The sequence below is a fragment of the Homo sapiens genome, chromosome 11, assembly GCF_000001405.40.
Source record: "Homo sapiens chromosome 11, GRCh38.p14 Primary Assembly".
Lineage (NCBI taxonomy): Eukaryota > Metazoa > Chordata > Mammalia > Primates > Hominidae > Homo > Homo sapiens.
The window spans coordinates 76,781,056-76,798,537 of NC_000011.10; the positions used below are offsets into that span (position 1 = coordinate 76,781,056).

The following is a 17,482-nucleotide window of genomic DNA, read 5'->3' on the forward strand; positions in this document are numbered from 1 at the left end:
GTGAAGGGTTGTTGATTACTTTTATGTTAAATGTGAGGCCTGGAGCCTCCAGCCCAGCTGGCTAGAACCTGCACACACAGTGCAGTGGGAGTTAGCTTCCCTGAGTTCCCGGGCAGTTGGGTATTTTCATCTCCAGTTCTCAGATGCTGAACTTGAGACTCGCTAAACAATTCCACATGGAGGAGAGGATGGAAATCGTTAGTCTAGGGCAAGGGGAGGGGGGCGCCATTCCTTCAAAAGAATGTCCCTATGGGAGGGGAGGAAGCAGGAGGAATATAAGCTAGACAAGCCAGGGAGTCCAGAGGTCATTCCCGGGCACCCTCCCCTCCCAAGCCTGCTGGGCTTTCCAGTCTCTACCCCAGTCCCTGACGGAAGACATTTAGCAACCACACAAAGGAGCTTCCTGTGAGCCAGACTAATGCTTTACCTAAATTACCTTGTTTATTCCTCACAATAGCCTCTTCTACAGTTGCAGACACTGAGTCTCAGAGAGGTTAGGTAACTTGCCTAAAGTTACCCAGAGCTGGTAAGTGGCAGGGCTGGAACCTGAATCCTGACCAAGCTTGGCCCTCACCCGATGCTGATTGCAGGTCTCTCTCCCATCTAGGCCAGGAGCCTTTAGAGAGGGGAGGGAATGGGAGGGTGGGAAATGGGAGGGGCCCGACTCCTCTCTATGGGTCCCAGGGGTTGTGGAGTTGAATCCCTGCAGCCCTTTTAAGCCCAACAGTGAGGAAGACACTGGATACCAAAGGGCCCATGGTGCCATCCCAAAGACTGATAAGGAGTGTGAGCTGGATGATCACAGAAGGACTCCTAGTTCTGAAAGCTGGGATTCTAATCAGGAGAGGACAATGAATGGAGAGGAGAGACGGGAGTTCTCCCTGCTTCCACACATATGAGACCAGGCTCCTAGCCTTTTCTCTGCACATTCCTAACTGGCAGGGTCCACAGGTGTCAACCCAAGTGCATCCCCAAGACCACACAATGGCTCTGAGTGCAGAAAGGACCTGCAAGACCAGTTTGTTTTCTGGGCAGCAGATGATTTTGCTGGCCTGAGGCCTGGGGCAGTGGTCTCCACTCCTACCTCACCACCTCTCTAGTGTCTTCCTTCTTCCCCAAGTAGACCGGCATGCATGCACACACAGGCCCAAGCAACTCCTTTTTTTTTTTTTTTTTTTAATGAATAAGAAAAAGTAATAAGGAAAGAAGCAGCAAGCAGACTGGGTGTGTTAACAAGTCTGGGCCACTGCAGGAGGTACATTGCCCAATTTCTGCACCCCGAGGCCCTCCAAAGTCTAGGAGAAGCTCCTGGGAGGTCCAGGGCCCAAGACCAAAGCCTCTATCAACTCTCCCACCTGTGAACTGCCCCTCTCCCAAGGTAGGCATTGTCGGGGTGTGTAGACTGGGAGCCACCCACACACCTGACTCTCCCCTCCTAGGAAATGCGTCCACCAGGTCATTTCTCCTGCAAACCCTCATTTTAAAGTGTCTTGGATGCTTTCCTGCCCTTTTTTTTTTTTTTTAACATAAAGAGGGGTGAGAGCCCAAGAGCTACAGCAGGGGGAATAGACTGAAACTGCTGCCTACTCACACGCCAGTTTCCCTTCTTAGAACTCTAACCAGAAGCCAATGGTTTCCTCCTAAAAGAAAAACTCAATCTGTTGACTTTCTCTCTCCTCTCCTGCCAGCTTTTCTGCCCGAGCCGGGCTCTCTCTTCTCTGTGGGTTCGTCTTTCAGCCAGTCTTTCTCTGCTTCAGATTCTTGGTTTCTTGCTCCCGGTAGTCCCTGAACCTCTTTCACTCTTTAAAAAAAAATGGGGAGGGGCGGTGAACAAGCAAAGAGGAAGCCCTCACCCACCCACCAAATCTCTTTCTTACTAGCAACTAATTCCCTCTCTCTTTCCACACACACAGTCATACACACACATACACATACACAGGCACGTACTCCGGCGACCTCCAGATGTTCCCGACAGTGCGGCCATCTGCTTAGATTGCTGGGGCGCGCAGGGGGAGGGGGCAGGGATCCGGGATGCAGGAAGCTGTGAGCGAGGCCAACTAGAGGGGGCGGGAGCAGCGCACTTTTGAGACGCTCCCTAGAGTGGAACCCGGGCTCGGCTCAGGCTCCGCGGGCGGGGCGCGCGCCGAGAGAGGCTGGCACTTTGGCGACACTCCCTGAGCCGCCCCGCGGCCGGCCCGAGCCGCCACCCGGCGCCCGGCAGGGGGGAGCCTGGCTGCGGGCGGGGACCGGGGGGCGGGCCGCGCCGCGCGGAGAAAAGCGCTGGCCGGAGGGCCCGCGGCCGGGCCGCCGGGGTGAGCGTGCCGAGGCGGCTGTGGCGCAGGCTTCCAGGTGAGTGCAGTTCCCCGGGCGGGGCGAGAGTCCGCGCTGCGGTTGAAGATCCCAAGTCCCCGATCCTAGCCTCGCGGCCCCTTCGGAGGGCGGGCTGGGGACGCCGGGCGCAGGGGCGGGGCTGGGTCCCGCCGAGGCCCCTCAACTTTCGTCGGACGCCTAGGGCTGGGCGGGAGTGGGGAACGCCGACCCAGGGGAGAGGTCTTGCGGGAGACAAAGGCTACGCCCAGGGGCCGTGTGGGTCTTTGTGCGGACACGTGCATCTCACGTTTGTGGGTCTTTGTGGATTTGCGGTCGGGGACGCGCCGCTGTCGGTGCCTTTGTGTGTCCGTGGCTTTGCGCGGCTGCTTTGCGCCCGTGTCCACGTTTGCGGGCCTGCGCTTGGCTGTGGGCGTCGGTGGGCGCATCGCGTGTCTCCGCGTACGTGGTCGGTGCCTGCCGACGTGTCTGGGCTGGGTGTCCGCAGAGGGTGTGCGCACCGAGAGCCCAACGCCGCCCCACCCCCCCGCTCCCCCGCCGTCCCCTCGGGCCCACGACTTGGCTCCAAACTTTTCTCCCGGTTCCTCGGGCAACAGCCCCAGTCCTCCCCACCGCTACCCGGCCGGGGGCGCAGACAGCCCTCCCCCTCCCCCTCCTGAGGTCCCAGGACAGCAAGGGGCTGCGACGGGATTGGTGGTCGGGGGATCGGCAGCGCCTGGGGACTGGCTGGGCAGGGGCTGGGCGGAGCGTGCGGACTCCCCCTCAGACCCCGGCTGGGAGGAAGAGGCGAGCGGTGGGTCCCAGGCTCCGGCCCTGGGCTGGGGAGAGGAAGGGACAGGGCGGCTGGCGTTGCCCTCCCCGCGCTTCTTGGAAAGAGTGTGATCCAGAGTTGCGTCTGTTTGGTAGGGAGACAGGCTCCGCTTTGAGACCCACTCTCCGTTTGCAGCCCGCCCCCGGGGTAGGGGGCCAACCCTCGGACCCGGTAGGGGAGAGGGGGACTGCCAGTCCAGATCTGGGCATGCCCGAGGCGCCGGCTCACAGGACCCGGAGCTGGGCTGGGGGCCGTGGGAGCCTCACATACACAGGTTTCAACTGGGACGGCCACTGGCCCCTGTGCGGCGCTGGCAAGTTGCTCAGCTTCGCGGAGTCGCGGTCACTCTGGCACGGACAGGGCGAGAACTCCCTCGCGGCTCGGGGCGTGCGGTGGGAATAACCCGCGCCTCTGGAGCCGGGCGGAGAGCAGCGCCAGCCCACACTTGGCCTGGCGAGGAGGTGACTCAAGACCTTCGATTCTTCTTTCATCTTTGTGCGCCCTGCCCTTCGGATAAGTCTAGACTTGCAGTGCCTGGGGCTGACCGGAGGTGGGGGGGGGGGGGTGCTCAGAGCTGCAGGAGCCTGCTGGGCTTTTGAGCCTAAGTCGCAAAGATAACCGTAAACACCCTCCTCCCCACTGCTCACTCCAGTCTTTAACCTAGAACTTTGTCGGATGCTGCAGACATGATGGAAGGGCACAGGCCGCTAACCTGGGAAAGAAACAACTGTGGGCATTTTCCTTTCCCTCTCCGGCCTCAGTTTCCCTTCTGGAAGGGGAGGTATTGATAGCCTCTTCTGTTCTGGCTGACTGCTTCAGATCCCAGAACCCAGAAACACTTTGATGTTTAACCTACACCTCCATTCTGACCTGACCTATTCCGAGGCACTACTTTGCTCCCCAGGAAGGCTGCAATGCAACCGCCACCGGGCTTCCACCTACCCTTCCTCCAACACCAGGAAAGGCAAAAGCTGATAAATGAGTCAAAAATGGAGAGGGAAGGGAGGGGGATTGACCTTTTCTCCTCTTACTTTTTAAATGACAGTTTGTGGTGGTAAAGTCCAGATCAGTCTTCTTCTTAATCATAACTCCTGGGTCAACACAGGGGATGCAGTTAAGAGTTCATGCTTCAGTTTTCAGAGCAAGGCTGGCCTGGGCACTGAGGACACTTCCTAAAGAGGGTTGGGTCCTCCCTGAAAGCCACCTGGCCAAAACAAGTCCTAAGAGGGGTTCTGTGGGAATAACCCGGAGAAGGGGCCTGACAGGAGATTCCTCCTGCTCATGGTTTTGAAGTCAGTGGGTACACAGGGGAGGCAGGAAGAATCTCCCACAAAAGGATCAGCATGTGCAGGACCTGTGCATGAAAACAGCACAGGTGGTCAGCATGGTGGACCAGCAGACGCAAGGTCTTGAGGGTGGTGAATTGGAAGTGAACTTGAGGCTGGGAAGGCAGGGACCAAATCACCAAGGCCTTGAATGTCAGGCCGAGAAGGGGGATTTGAGCCTGTAGGCAATGGAGAGCTCCTGGAGGATTTAAACAGGCACAGCAGGGTGCGGTTGGTAATTCTATGAAACCCGTCTCTGGCTTGTGGGTGGTGCTGGAGGCCGAGAGACCAATCTGGAGGGCGAGTGATCCAGCCTCTTAGAGTCAAAGGGACCCAGATTTTACTCCCACCCCATTGCTTCCTACCTCTGTGGCCTGGGACAAGTAACTTATTTAAAATGTGAGGATACTAATTCTTGCTCCACTGATTTGGTGTATTAAATAAGATAATGAATTACATGTGCAAATAAATAAAAAGTGGTTTGTAGTGTGTATTACATTGTGCAGACATTCATTGGATTGCACTGACAATAGAAGGCAGAGACAGCATTGACTCTGGTCCTAAACCTGATCTCACCAGCGGGCAGAGCCCTAAGCATCCTGCAGGGTTGCACCAATTGTTATGTTCCCCACAAAGCAGAAGGGAGCTTTCTGTCCATGACATTTCATTCATCTGATTTATCACCTTCATGTGGCCAGGCTCGTGCAGGCAAGGAGGTAGACACAGATTCGTAGATGGCCACAGAAGTGGGCCAGTACCTTGTCGGGGGCAGCCCAAGGGCCATGGGCGCTCACAGGATGGGTGGCCTTTCCTGGATGAGCGGCAGGTTAGACTGGGAAAGCCTCACAGAGGAGGTGGCTTTTTGAATGAAATGTGTGAGAGTTTGCTGGTAGACAAAGAAGGGTATCTTTGCATCAGAGGGAACAACGTGTGCAAAAAGGCAGGTGGCTCTAGAAGAGTCACAGGCCTCTAGACTAGAAAGCTGTCTCTGTGGGATGGGTTTTAAAGAGGGAGCTGTAGTAGGGTCCCAGACTTCTGTTGGGAAGTGCGTTCTGGTGCCAGCATGGCTGGCAGTTGGAGTCAGGCCAGGAGCGAGGCTGTTGCAGCAGGTCTCTTGAGCCTGACCTGGACAGGGGGAGGTGACTGCCCAGCTTAGGGATGAGGGAAAGGGAAGACAGTGACCCCAACTGCCCAGGGGGATCTGCGAATTTGATGCTGAGCCCTCATTCTGTCACAGGCAACACAGCAGCTTTTGCCTGCTTTGGTCTCTGAGACCTTTCCAGCTCACCCTTCCCAGTCTCCTGGGAGTGCCTTGTCAGCATCTTGTAGCCACACTGGGATCCTGGATGGTATGTGGAGAGAGGATCCAAGGCCTCTGGGATGAATTGTGGATTCTTCTCCATCTTCAGCCCCTGCCTTCCCTCAGGATTTGCTGGTGTCACAGCACCTTTTTCTTCCCTGGTCCCTGAAATCACTCACTGGGGACAGGAACCAACATTCAGTGAATACCAACATGTGCCAGGCCAGGTCTGGGTCTTCACTTTGCCTCATGTAATCATCACAGTGACCCGTTAGGACCAGCACTGGGATTATCACCATATTACAGACGAGGACTCAGAGGGGTGAGGGCACGAGCAAGCCTCAGAGCAGTGAAGGCCCTGTTGGGTTGGAACCCAGACTGCCTGGCTACAAAACCCTTGCCCTCTGCCCCATAGCGCCTCCTCATGTGTCCATGTACGCTGCCTCAGGTTGATGGGAACTTGAAAATCTTCAAGAAGAAGACATATTGAAAGGAGAAAATCTTACTGGGAGCCTTGCCCATCTCCCTGTAGATTATCCTCCTTGGGTAAGTTGCTAGGCTTACAGGTCCCTGCGATCATGTCATGGAGGAGGCCAGGTACTGGATGTCAGAATACCTGGGTCCTGGGTCCAGCCCCTGTCCTCTCTGGCTGTGTGACTCTGGACAGATCACAGAACCTCTCTGGACTTCTTAACACAGCTGTAAAGTAGATATGACGCCATCTAACCTGCTGATCCTGCAGGGTGACTGAACAGATGGTAGTTGAGGAAGCATGGGAGAGGTTGAGAGGTGTCCTTTGGTGAGGTAGCGGTATTCTAGATGCTTGGTGCATCTTCACGTGGTGTCTGCTCTGTACCAGGCTCAGTGCTCAGCTTCAAGGGCATAAAAAGGAACCTAATCGCATCCCTGCCCACAGTAGGATAGACAGTTAAACATGTAAGTACAGTTCAGCATGACCAGGTCTAAGCACATGTGCTCATTTGTAAGCTGAGGCAGAGTGGATTTGGAGCTAAGACATCTGGGGTTAAGTCCGGGGTCCTCTCCTTCCCAGCTGAGTAACATCCATTTCTGTGTCTGCAAAATAGGGACAGTATCCCCAGGGTCAAGGCTCTGGTGAGGCAGAAGTGAGATGCTGGTGGAGAGCACATGGTGGGCTGCTGTGTTTGTCCAGATGTGCTGCATTGGTGGGTCTGTTGCAAGAGCTGGCCCTCAGGGCTCCGGGAGTCTGGCCTTGAAATTCTTTCTGCCTTGCGTTTCCAGAGCTGACAAAGTGGTTGGAGGGCAGGACGTTTCTGAACCATCCACCTGGGGATTTCCTCGGCATCAGCTTGAGTGAACTCATGACTGAGGGGAGCAGGGTGGGAGGCAGCTCTGTGTTGAGGAACAGCTGATCGAGACAAAGGCCGGTCTCGGGGGTGCTGGGGCCCTGTACCAGTGGGGCCCTGTGCCAACAGTGCCCTGTGGAAGTTGTCGAGGGCGGTGGGGGGAGCTGGAAAACTTTACAGACCAGAGATGCTGTAGTGCAGCACCAGGGTCAGGCAGCTGGGGCCAGGTAGGTTCAAGCTGGAACCCAACACCCAGAGAGCTGTCCTTATCAGCAGACACCAGGGAAGTGACTGAAGAATGTCATCACAGCCAGTCTCGGACCTGCTGTGCTCCTGGCGCCACACTGGGAACTTGGGTGGGGAGGAACATGAAGGATCACATGGTGACTGCCTTCAGAAGGCTTAGCAAATCACCGTCATTGTCTACCACACATTGAGTATTTGTGTAGCAGATAGTGAGTGGAATGCCTGCCATTCTGTCATTTAATCCTTTCAACAAACCTGTGTTCTTAGCCCTGTTGAGGACCCTCGGAGCGGGTCCCAAGACTTACCCAAGGCTGGTAGGTACAGAGCTAGGTTCACACCTGGTCTGGGTCTTGCGGTTGACCCGTTCATCCTGCTCTTCCTCCACACACCCTCTAGGCCTGGCTCTGATCCCAGGTGGGGGAAAGAACACACAGGTAAAGTAGGCAGGGCACCGCCCCAAGCTGCTTACACATCAAGTAGGAAAACAGCAGGTAACTCACGGCAGAGAATTTACTGAAGGAGGCCTGTGGGTAGCCTGTGGGGTGAGAGGCCAGGAGGGAGGGGTGGCCCGAGGGCCTGAGTGGACAGAACAGGCTTTGTTTTGCTGGGAGCAGGCCAGGGGCAGGCGGGATGGATGCATGCAGTTCTGGCAGTCACATGAGGCATCAGGTCCCAGGTCCTGGGCCCTGCTCTGCCATTCCTTGCTGTCACTGCCCCTCTCTGGGCCCCAGTTGCCCATGATCCCCAAGGGGCCTTCCAGCTCCCAAGCCCTGGAATTCTCCAAGTTTGGAGATGTATTAGCAGAGGCTGAGAGTTGTTCAAAGTCCATCAAGGGAAGGCTGTTCCCACTTTGGCTGTCAAGGAGGGTTCAAATCCAGATGAGGGGCTGGGGACAGGTGGGAGGGGAGAAGAAGGTGGTGACAACTTACAGGTGCCTCGTGCATGGGAGAACTTGATTTCTGTAGGTAAAAAGCAGAACCCAAGAGGTTTCTGATAAGGAGAGTGATGTGGCCAAAGCTGTTTTAGAGGTGTCTCATAGCAGTGTGTGCGGTGTCACCTGGGGAGACCTGCCTGGAGCCTGTTGGGGCCGTACCATTTACTCTTTGTCCTTGCAGGCCATCAGCAAACTTAGAGTCACTGTGGACCTGGCCCTGTGGGCCCAACAATGCATGATTCATGGCCCCTGCACTGGAAGGCCTTACGGTATATCCCCCAAATCACAGATGGATGTGGTTTCTAAGCCCTTGTCCTCCTGTTCTTGTGTTTTATAATCTGGTCAATCAGTGGATATCTTGTATCTGCAGGTCAAGATTTGGAAAAAAATGTTGAATCTTGACTGAAAGATCCCTTTCTCCCTCAGCCTTCTTTGGTGGCTACCAGTCTTCATTTCTCTTTTTCCTGGGGGTAGAGTACGGGTCCCAGAGGGAGGCAGTGTGAATACTGTTACACAGATAAGAAAACCAAGGCCCAAAGAAAACAGGGAAGGTCACACAGATAGTGGCACACCTGGGACTAGAGCCCCAGTCTCCTGGGTCCAAAGCTGGTGTTAGTGATCTTGTTATAAGTTGGTCTTCTGTTCTCATTGCTGGTCTGTAAGCCCCATGAGGACAGGGACCCTAGTATCTATCCCATCACCACCCACCCCCCGCCCCCCACTCCCTCCTGGCCTAGCCCAGTGCTTTGTATATACTTAGTAGAAATTTAGGATATGCTTTTGTTAAACTTTAAAATCCTGAAACTCTGGAGTTGGATTATCTAAACTGAACCTCTTACTGTGAAGCTGGAGAAACTGAGGCACAGAAGGGGGAAGAGACTTGTTCAGAGATGAGATGAGGACAGTCCATGGCAGAGCAGGCACTGAGACCTAGGGCTCCTGACCATCCTGCAGGACTTCTCTTGTCACCAGGCACAGTTGCCCTGTCACCTCCCTGTCAGTGCCCCAGAGTGTGGGGAGGGAAGTAGTCGGTGACTGTGTCTCAGGGGGCTTCATCTACCATTGGCTGCACATTTGTCAGCGTCCTGGTGCTGTGCTGGGTGTTTCACACGAACGATCTCTAGCCCTTGCGGCAACTCCTTGAGGAAGGGAGTGTTAACTCCATTTTAACTCCCCATGACTTCTGATATGGTTTGGCTGTGCCCCACCCAAATCTGAACTTGAATTGTATCTCCCAGAATTCCCATGTGTTGTGGGAGGGACCCAGTGGGAGGTAATTGAATGCAGGAAGCTTTTGCTTCCTCCTCATTGTATCTTGCCACTGCCATGTAAGAAGTGCGTTTTGCCCTCCGCCATGATTGTGAGACCTTCCCCGGCCACGTGGAATTGTTAAGTTCAATTAAGCCACTTTCTTTTATATGTTGCCCAGTCTCAGGTTTGTCTTTATCAGCAGCATGAAAAAGGACTAATACAGTAAATTGGTACCAGTAGAGTGGGGGCATTGCTGAAAAGATACCCAAAAACATGGAAGCAACTTTGGACCTGGGTAACAAGCAGAGGTTGGAACAGTTTGGAGGGTTCAGAAGAAGACAGGAAAATGTGGGAAAGTTTGGAACTTCCTAGAGACTTATTGAATGGCTTTGCCCAAAATCCTGATGGCAATATGGACAATAAAGTACAGGCTGAGGTGGTCTCAGATGGAAATGAGGAACTTGTTGGGAACTGGAGCAAAGGTGACTGTTGTTATGTTTTAGCAAAGAGATGGCAGCAATTTGCTCCTGCCCTAGAGATTTGTGGAACTTTGAACTTGAGAGCAATGATTTAGGGTATCTGGCAGAAGAAATTTCTAAGCAGGAAAGCATTCAAGAGGTGACCTGGGTGCTGTTAAAGGCATTCCGTTTTATAAGGGAAGCAGAGCATAGAAGTTTGGAAAATTTGTAGCTTGACAATGCATTAGAAAAGAAAAGAAAATGCCATTTTCTGAGGAGACATTTAAGCCGGCTGCAGAAATTTGCATAACTTGCAGCTGAATGTTAACTCCCAAGACAATGGGGAAAATGTCTCCAGGGCATGTCAGAGTTCTTCAAGGCAGCCCTTCTCATCACAGGCCTGGAGGCGTAGGAGGAAAAAAATGGTTTCTCAGGCCAGGCCCAGGATCTCCATGCTGTGTGCAGCCTAGGGACTTGGTGTCCTGTGTCCCAGACACTCCAGCCATGACTAAAAGGGGCCAAGGTACAACTCAGCCATGGCTTCAGAGGGTGCAAGCCCCAAGACTTCGCAGGTTCCAGAACCACCATCATTCACTGACCTTGGGCAGGTGACCCAATCTCTCTGAGCATCCACAGAAGGGGATAATTGTTCATTTTACAAAACCCAAACCAAAGCTCAACACCACTTGGCAGCTTCCATGTGGTGTTGAGCCTGTGGGTACACAGAAGTCAAGAATTGAGGTTTGGGAACCTCTGCCTAGATTTCAGAAGATGTATGGAAACACCTGGATGCCCAGGCAAAAGTTTGCTGCAGGGGTGGGACCCTCATGGAGAACCTCTGCTAGGGCAGTGCAGAAAGGAAATGTGGGGTTGGAGTAGAGTCCCTACTGGGGCACCGCCTAGTGGAGCTGTGAGAAGAGGGGCACCATCCTCTAGACCGCAGAATGGCAGATCCACTAACAGCTTGCACTGTGCACCTGGAAAAGCTGCAGACACTCAACGCCAGTCCGTGAAAGCAGCCAGAAAGGAGGCTGCACCCTGCAAAGCCACGGGGGTGGAGCTGCCCAAGACTGTGGGAACCCACCTCTTGCATCAGCATGACTCAGATATGCGGGACATGGAGTCAAAGGAGATCATTTTGGAACTTTAATAAGATTTGACTGCCCTGCTGGATTTTGAACTTGCCTGGGGCCTGTAGCCCCTTTGTTTTGGCTAATTTCTTCCATGTGGAACAGCTGTATTTACCCAATGCCTGTACCCCCACTGTATCTAGGAAGTAACTAACTTGCTTTTGATTTTACAGGCTCGTAGGTGGAAGGGACTTGTCTCAGATGAGACATTGGACTGTGGACTTTTGGGTTAATACTGAAATGAGTTAAGACTTTGGGGGACTGTTGGGAAGGCATGATTGGTTTTGAAATGTGAGAACATGAGATTTGGGAGGGACCAGGGGTGGAATGATATGGTTTAGCTGTGCCCGCACCCAAATCTCAACTTGAATTGTATCTCCCAGTATTCCCATGTGTTGTGGGAGGGACCCAGTGGGAGGTAATTGAATCATGGGGCCAGTCTTTCCCGAGCTATTCTCGTGATAGTGAATAAGTCTCACAAGATCTGATGGGTTTATCAGGGGCTTCAGCTTTTGCTTCCTCCTCATTCTCTCTTGCCGCCGCCATGTAAGAAGTGCCTTTTGCCTTCCACCATGATTGTTAGACCTTCCACAGCCACGTGGAATTGTAAGTCCAATTAAACCTCTTTCTTTTGTAAATTGCCCAGTCTTAGGTATGTCTTTATCAGCAGCATGAAAACAGACTAATACAACTTCCCAGAGTTGCACAGTGTAGCAAGTCACTCCTGCTAAAGATGGTCAGCCACCTTCCTTTTCCGATCCTCAGTTTCTCTGCTCTAAAATGGGGATGAGACTGCTGGCTCACAGAGTGACTGTGCGGACTAAATGAAAGCATGTGTGTCCAGCACTAGCAGAGAGTGAGGACTGGCCCTGACTGTCACTGTCGTCACTTCCCACTGCAAATGCCCAGCCCCGGGCATAGGCCCGGCACAGAGCAGGAACCCCGGGAGAGGTGTCTACTGTGCAGGGCTGAGCAAGGAACCTAGTTCAGTGCCCTGGGAGCATCTGCAGACAGTTACCTAGGTAACTCCTGCCCCTTTACATCAGATGCCTCTTTACATCGGCTGTTACTACCATTGCCTCAGTTCTGTATCTTCTGGCTGCTGGGTGATGACTGCCCTGTGCCTGTGCACAGCCCTTCACAGTTGGCAGTAAGGGTTAATCAACTTAGGTGAAGAGGGCAGGGCAGAAATTGCCACCCTGTAGTGCAGAGGACAAGGCTGAGGCTTAAAGAGGGGCAGCGAGAGGTCCCCTCTGGCGGGATAGCATTTGGGTCGTATTTTGAGCTGCTGGTTACATAAGTGGGAGCTCATATGAGGCCATTTGGCATTTCACGGACCCCTTGTATAATCACCTCTGGGAATCAAAGGGTAATCTCAGGGCCTTTGTGCTGTTTGTTTAAACCCCAGGAAGGGTGGGTATGAATGAGCAGATCAGCTTAGCAGGGGAGGTGGGGCCTTTGGTGGTAATGAGCCCTGCGGTGAGGAGCTCGCCCAGGGGAACAAAAGGGGCCTGAAGCAACTTAATATTTTCCTTTTGGTTCCAGACATTGGAACACTCTGTCCTGCCTCAGCTGGGACCATGCCCAGGATGCACCTGGGCTGGATTTAATCCTGAAATTGGCCTCTACAAAAGAAAGGGGTGGGAGAGGAGGGTCCCACATGGGGAGGGGGGCAGGGGAGAAGAGTCCCACTTTTCCCTGCCCCTGGGCAAAGCCAGAGTGCAGATCAAGTGGCTAGCCCTTTAAAGTTTCATGCAGGGCTGGTAATGCAATCCTGCTGCTCCCTCCCACCCACCTTCCAGTCTGGAAGGTGGGCAGGTCCCTGGCCCATCTCCTCCCCCTCTCTCACCTCCTTCCTGAAGTCCAGAGGGAGGGATGGGCAGGAGGGCAGGGGCCCAGAGCAGGGCCACCCAGATGAAGAGCCTGGCTAGAAGGAAGCTTAGTGCCTTCTGTCTCCCAGGCTGCTGAGGGGCCACTGTGCAGGGCCGGGGTGACGACAGACTATCCAATTGGTCTAGTTAGAAGCTCCCACTGCCCAACCCTCTCCTTCTCATGCTGGCACCACTGAGCACCACCATCCCAGGAGCTACAGTGGACGTGAACACAGGCTTTGAATCCAACAGCAGTGGGTGGTGTGACCATTAGATGTGACAACACGTATGTAGCACCTGGCATCTGTAGCAGCCACCACTGTAATTGTACAGAGGGAACTGAGATCTGAGGAGGGACACTGGCTCATGCCACAGCATGTGTCAGTGGGAAAAGCCCCTCCTGCACCCTGCCTCTCCACCAGCTACTCTGCCAGTCCTGCTGGAGGCAACGCATATGAATATAGTAATTGGAGTACACCAGGCCTGGGTCCCATTCCTGCCCTGCATTTTACTAGTTTGGGGTAAGGCCCTATTCCTCTCTGAGCCTCTGTTTCTTCATCTGTATAATGGGGGAAGCAGCCTAACTGCCTGCCCGAGGTTAAAGGAAGAACCAAAGAGGTGTAGTAGCTTAATCTGCTGGTGGCAAGGGACAGAGTAAGGGGGAAAGAGGCTTGGGACAGGTGTCCCCAAAACCCATCTGGGAATCTGGACACCCACGTTGGACACCAGGATGCCCAATGAGAAGGGAAGTTCCTGCCCCTGGATGACAGGCTAGGGGGACAGGGCAGGTGGAGTATGGGTGCGGTGGGGCAGTCACTGCAGGCCCCATTGCAGGGAGGGAGTCCTGGTCTTGAAGGCCAGCCCCGGCCAGACCACAGGTGCTTTCTCTGTCAGTGTCCCCTCTAGTGCCACTCCACTCTGCTGTGTGGCTGTCCAAAAGCGTCTTAACCTAAGGCCCAGTTCCCTTTTGGTAAAACAGAGAATTTTCTGCCTTGGAAGGTGGTTGTGAGGGTCAGATGCGACCATGCTGTGGGGCAGCCAGAACAGTGCCTGACGTGTAACACTTGCTCAGCAGAGAGTGGGGCACCCTGGGCACACCCTACCCTCAGCCCTGTGGATGAGCCCCTCACCCGGGGCCCGAGGTCTAGACCAAACCAGGGACTCTGGACCATCAGAGCTGGAGAGGCCAGCCCGAGAAACCGTCTAGTCTGGTGGGTTTCAAACTGGGTTTCCTAACACCCTAGGCAGGGATGGTGGGCAGAAGTCGAGGGCTTCAGGTCCCCCTCACTTCAGCCAGACCAGGCCCGCCTTCATCTGCTGCTCTTGTTTAAGAAAGGGATCTGCTGCTTCTAGTTGAAAATTCACCACCTGGCCTCACGCCCCTTACCATACAAATGGAGAGGCAGAGGCCAGAGAAGAACTGGGACTAGGAACTCTGGGGAGTGTTCCAGGAAGCATTCCAGGAGGTCGGGGTCTGTGACACCTTCCAACAGTGTCTAGACTGGGCTCATGTCCTGTGTGGTGGCTTTAGACCATCTGGTGCATTCATTCCTCACCTGTGGCTCTCTTTCTAGCCCCCACCATGCCGTGGCCCCTGCTGCTGCTGCTGGCCGTGAGTGGGGCCCAGACAACCCGGCCATGCTTCCCCGGGTGCCAATGCGAGGTGGAGACCTTCGGCCTTTTCGACAGCTTCAGCCTGACTCGGGTGGATTGTAGCGGCCTGGGCCCCCACATCATGCCGGTGCCCATCCCTCTGGACACAGCCCACTTGGACCTGTCCTCCAACCGGCTGGAGATGGTGAATGAGTCGGTGTTGGCGGGGCCGGGCTACACGACGTTGGCTGGCCTGGATCTCAGCCACAACCTGCTCACCAGCATCTCACCCACTGCCTTCTCCCGCCTTCGCTACCTGGAGTCGCTTGACCTCAGCCACAATGGCCTGACAGCCCTGCCAGCCGAGAGCTTCACCAGCTCACCCCTGAGCGACGTGAACCTTAGCCACAACCAGCTCCGGGAGGTCTCAGTGTCTGCCTTCACGACGCACAGTCAGGGCCGGGCACTACACGTGGACCTCTCCCACAACCTCATTCACCGCCTCGTGCCCCACCCCACGAGGGCCGGCCTGCCTGCGCCCACCATTCAGAGCCTGAACCTGGCCTGGAACCGGCTCCATGCCGTGCCCAACCTCCGAGACTTGCCCCTGCGCTACCTGAGCCTGGATGGGAACCCTCTAGCTGTCATTGGTCCGGGTGCCTTCGCGGGGCTGGGAGGCCTTACACACCTGTCTCTGGCCAGCCTGCAGAGGCTCCCTGAGCTGGCGCCCAGTGGCTTCCGTGAGCTACCGGGCCTGCAGGTCCTGGACCTGTCGGGCAACCCCAAGCTTAACTGGGCAGGAGCTGAGGTGTTTTCAGGCCTGAGCTCCCTGCAGGAGCTGGACCTTTCGGGCACCAACCTGGTGCCCCTGCCTGAGGCGCTGCTCCTCCACCTCCCGGCACTGCAGAGCGTCAGCGTGGGCCAGGATGTGCGGTGCCGGCGCCTGGTGCGGGAGGGCACCTACCCCCGGAGGCCTGGCTCCAGCCCCAAGGTGGCCCTGCACTGCGTAGACACCCGGGATTCTGCTGCCAGGGGCCCCACCATCTTGTGACAAATGGTGTGGCCCAGGGCCACATAACAGACTGCTGTCCTGGGCTGCCTCAGGTCCCGAGTAACTTATGTTCAATGTGCCAACACCAGTGGGGAGCCCGCAGGCCTATGTGGCAGCGTCACCACAGGAGTTGTGGGCCTAGGAGAGGCTTTGGACCTGGGAGCCACACCTAGGAGCAAAGTCTCACCCCTTTGTCTACGTTGCTTCCCCAAACCATGAGCAGAGGGACTTCGATGCCAAACCAGACTCGGGTCCCCTCCTGCTTCCCTTCCCCACTTATCCCCCAAGTGCCTTCCCTCATGCCTGGGCCGGCCTGACCCGCAATGGGCAGAGGGTGGGTGGGACCCCCTGCTGCAGGGCAGAGTTCAGGTCCACTGGGCTGAGTGTCCCCTTGGGCCCATGGCCCAGTCACTCAGGGGCGAGTTTCTTTTCTAACATAGCCCTTTCTTTGCCATGAGGCCATGAGGCCCGCTTCATCCTTTTCTATTTCCCTAGAACCTTAATGGTAGAAGGAATTGCAAAGAATCAAGTCCACCCTTCTCATGTGACAGATGGGGAAACTGAGGCCTTGAGAAGGAAAAAGGCTAATCTAAGTTCCTGCGGGCAGTGGCATGACTGGAGCACAGCCTCCTGCCTCCCAGCCCGGACCCAATGCACTTTCTTGTCTCCTCTAATAAGCCCCACCCTCCCCGCCTGGGCTCCCCTTGCTGCCCTTGCCTGTTCCCCATTAGCACAGGAGTAGCAGCAGCAGGACAGGCAAGAGCCTCACAAGTGGGACTCTGGGCCTCTGACCAGCTGTGCGGCATGGGCTAAGTCACTCTGCCCTTCGGAGCCTCTGGAAGCTTAGGGCACATTGGTTCCAGCCTAGCCAGTTTCTCACCCTGGGTTGGGGTCCCCCAGCATCCAGACTGGAAACCTACCCATTTTCCCCTGAGCATCCTCTAGATGCTGCCCCAAGGAGTTGCTGCAGTTCTGGAGCCTCATCTGGCTGGGATCTCCAAGGGGCCTCCTGGATTCAGTCCCCACTGGCCCTGAGCACGACAGCCCTTCTTACCCTCCCAGGAATGCCGTGAAAGGAGACAAGGTCTGCCCGACCCATGTCTATGCTCTACCCCCAGGGTAGCATCTCAGCTTCCGAACCCTGGGCTGTTTCCTTAGTCTTCATTTTATAAAAGTTGTTGCCTTTTTAACGGAGTGTCACTTTCAACCGGCCTCCCCTACCCCTGCTGGCCGGGGATGGAGACATGTCATTTGTAAAAGCAGAAAAAGGTTGCATTTGTTCACTTTTGTAATATTGTCCTGGGCCTGTGTTGGGGTGTTGGGGGAAGCTGGGCATCAGTGGCCACATGGGCATCAGGGGCTGGCCCCACAGAGACCCCACAGGGCAGTGAGCTCTGTCTTCCCCCACCTGCCTAGCCCATCATCTATCTAACCGGTCCTTGATTTAATAAACACTATAAAAAGTTCTTTGCTTTACTCAGCCAGTGTCCACTGGCAATCCCTGGGCTGGGCTCTGGGGCCACAAAGATGAATCAGGTTAGGCCCTGCCCTGGGCAGCTTGTTCTCCCTGAAAAGCCTGATAATCTCAGGATTTGGGGAGTAAGGTGACGTGAAGGAGGGAGTTCCTGCACCCTGTTCACCTCTCATCTCCCGTGGCCCTACCCCACTGTTCCTGCCACCCCAGCTCCAGCCATAGCCATGAGCATGCAGGCCCTTGCACACCTGTTCTCTTGCTCAGGCGTTACTGTGGGACCTTGCCCTTGCCCTCACCCCTGTCTCTCAACCTCCTTCCTATCCAGTAGACCTAGTTCTTGCCCGCCCGCAGAAGCTTCCTTGGCCCCTTCCACCTCCCTCCTCTG

At 55.2% G+C, this 17,482-nt stretch overlaps 1 protein-coding gene and 1 long non-coding RNA gene across 8 annotated transcripts, besides 7 other annotated features; one reads left to right on the forward strand and one right to left on the reverse strand.

Annotated features, from left to right (window-relative positions):
• The first annotated feature begins 1,224 nt into the window (after positions 1–1,224).
• On the forward strand, positions 1,225–17,089 carry TSKU (tsukushi, small leucine rich proteoglycan). Of its 6 annotated transcripts, none has more exons than NM_001258210.2 (2): positions 1,225–1,378; positions 14,554–17,089. In NM_001258210.2, exon 2 carries the CDS (start codon positions 14,562–14,564, stop codon positions 15,621–15,623), a length of 1,062 nt encoding a protein of 353 aa, NP_001245139.1. In that variant the 5' UTR covers positions 1,225–1,378; positions 14,554–14,561; the 3' UTR covers positions 15,624–17,089. The 6 variants fall into 6 exon arrangements, with proteins under 6 accessions (NP_001245139.1, XP_047282682.1, NP_056331.2 ...); XM_047426726.1 differs by lacking the exon at positions 1,225–1,378 and adding an exon at positions 2,301–3,230; NM_015516.4 differs by lacking the exon at positions 1,225–1,378 and adding an exon at positions 2,301–2,349.
• On the reverse strand, positions 1,526–2,007 carry TSKU-AS1 (TSKU antisense RNA 1). Of its 2 annotated transcripts, none has more exons than NR_120562.1 (2): positions 1,948–2,007; positions 1,526–1,801 (listed from the first exon to the last, which is right to left on the reverse strand). It is a non-coding gene; the product is annotated as a TSKU antisense RNA 1 (long non-coding RNA). The 2 variants fall into 2 exon arrangements; NR_120561.1 differs by having other exon boundaries at positions 1,936–2,007.
• Positions 1,538–1,727: an enhancer, noted in NCBI's record as "active region_5299". NCBI's record gives its function as "activates an Ori minimal core promoter by ATAC-STARR-seq in GM12878 lymphoblastoid cells {active_cell/tissue: GM12878}" and the evidence as "EXISTENCE:reporter gene assay evidence [ECO:0000049][PMID:35858748]".
• Positions 1,962–2,606: an enhancer, noted in NCBI's record as "H3K27ac hESC enhancer chr11:76494061-76494705 (GRCh37/hg19 assembly coordinates)". NCBI's record gives its function as "activates a minimal SCP1, AML or CMV promoter by ChIP-STARR-seq in naive H9 embryonic stem cells {active_cell/tissue: H9 hESC(naive)}" and the evidence as "EXISTENCE:reporter gene assay evidence [ECO:0000049][PMID:30033119]".
• Positions 2,158–2,247: a silencer, noted in NCBI's record as "silent region_3789". NCBI's record gives its function as "represses an Ori minimal core promoter by ATAC-STARR-seq in GM12878 lymphoblastoid cells {active_cell/tissue: GM12878}" and the evidence as "EXISTENCE:reporter gene assay evidence [ECO:0000049][PMID:35858748]".
• Positions 4,994–5,916: an enhancer, noted in NCBI's record as "H3K4me1 hESC enhancer chr11:76497093-76498015 (GRCh37/hg19 assembly coordinates)". NCBI's record gives its function as "activates a minimal SCP1, AML or CMV promoter by ChIP-STARR-seq in primed H9 embryonic stem cells {active_cell/tissue: H9 hESC(primed)}" and the evidence as "EXISTENCE:reporter gene assay evidence [ECO:0000049][PMID:30033119]".
• Positions 7,750–8,044: a silencer, noted in NCBI's record as "tiled region #10511; HepG2 Repressive DNase matched - State 5:Enh". NCBI's record gives its function as "represses a minimal TATA promoter and a strong SV40 promoter by Sharpr-MPRA in HepG2 cells {active_cell/tissue: HepG2}" and the evidence as "EXISTENCE:reporter gene assay evidence [ECO:0000049][PMID:27701403]".
• Positions 13,330–14,235: an enhancer, noted in NCBI's record as "H3K4me1 hESC enhancer chr11:76505429-76506334 (GRCh37/hg19 assembly coordinates)". NCBI's record gives its function as "activates a minimal SCP1, AML or CMV promoter by ChIP-STARR-seq in naive H9 embryonic stem cells {active_cell/tissue: H9 hESC(naive)}" and the evidence as "EXISTENCE:reporter gene assay evidence [ECO:0000049][PMID:30033119]".
• Positions 14,236–15,141: an enhancer, noted in NCBI's record as "H3K4me1 hESC enhancer chr11:76506335-76507240 (GRCh37/hg19 assembly coordinates)". NCBI's record gives its function as "activates a minimal SCP1, AML or CMV promoter by ChIP-STARR-seq in primed H9 embryonic stem cells {active_cell/tissue: H9 hESC(primed)}" and the evidence as "EXISTENCE:reporter gene assay evidence [ECO:0000049][PMID:30033119]".
• Positions 17,090–17,482: the final 393 nt, after the last annotated feature.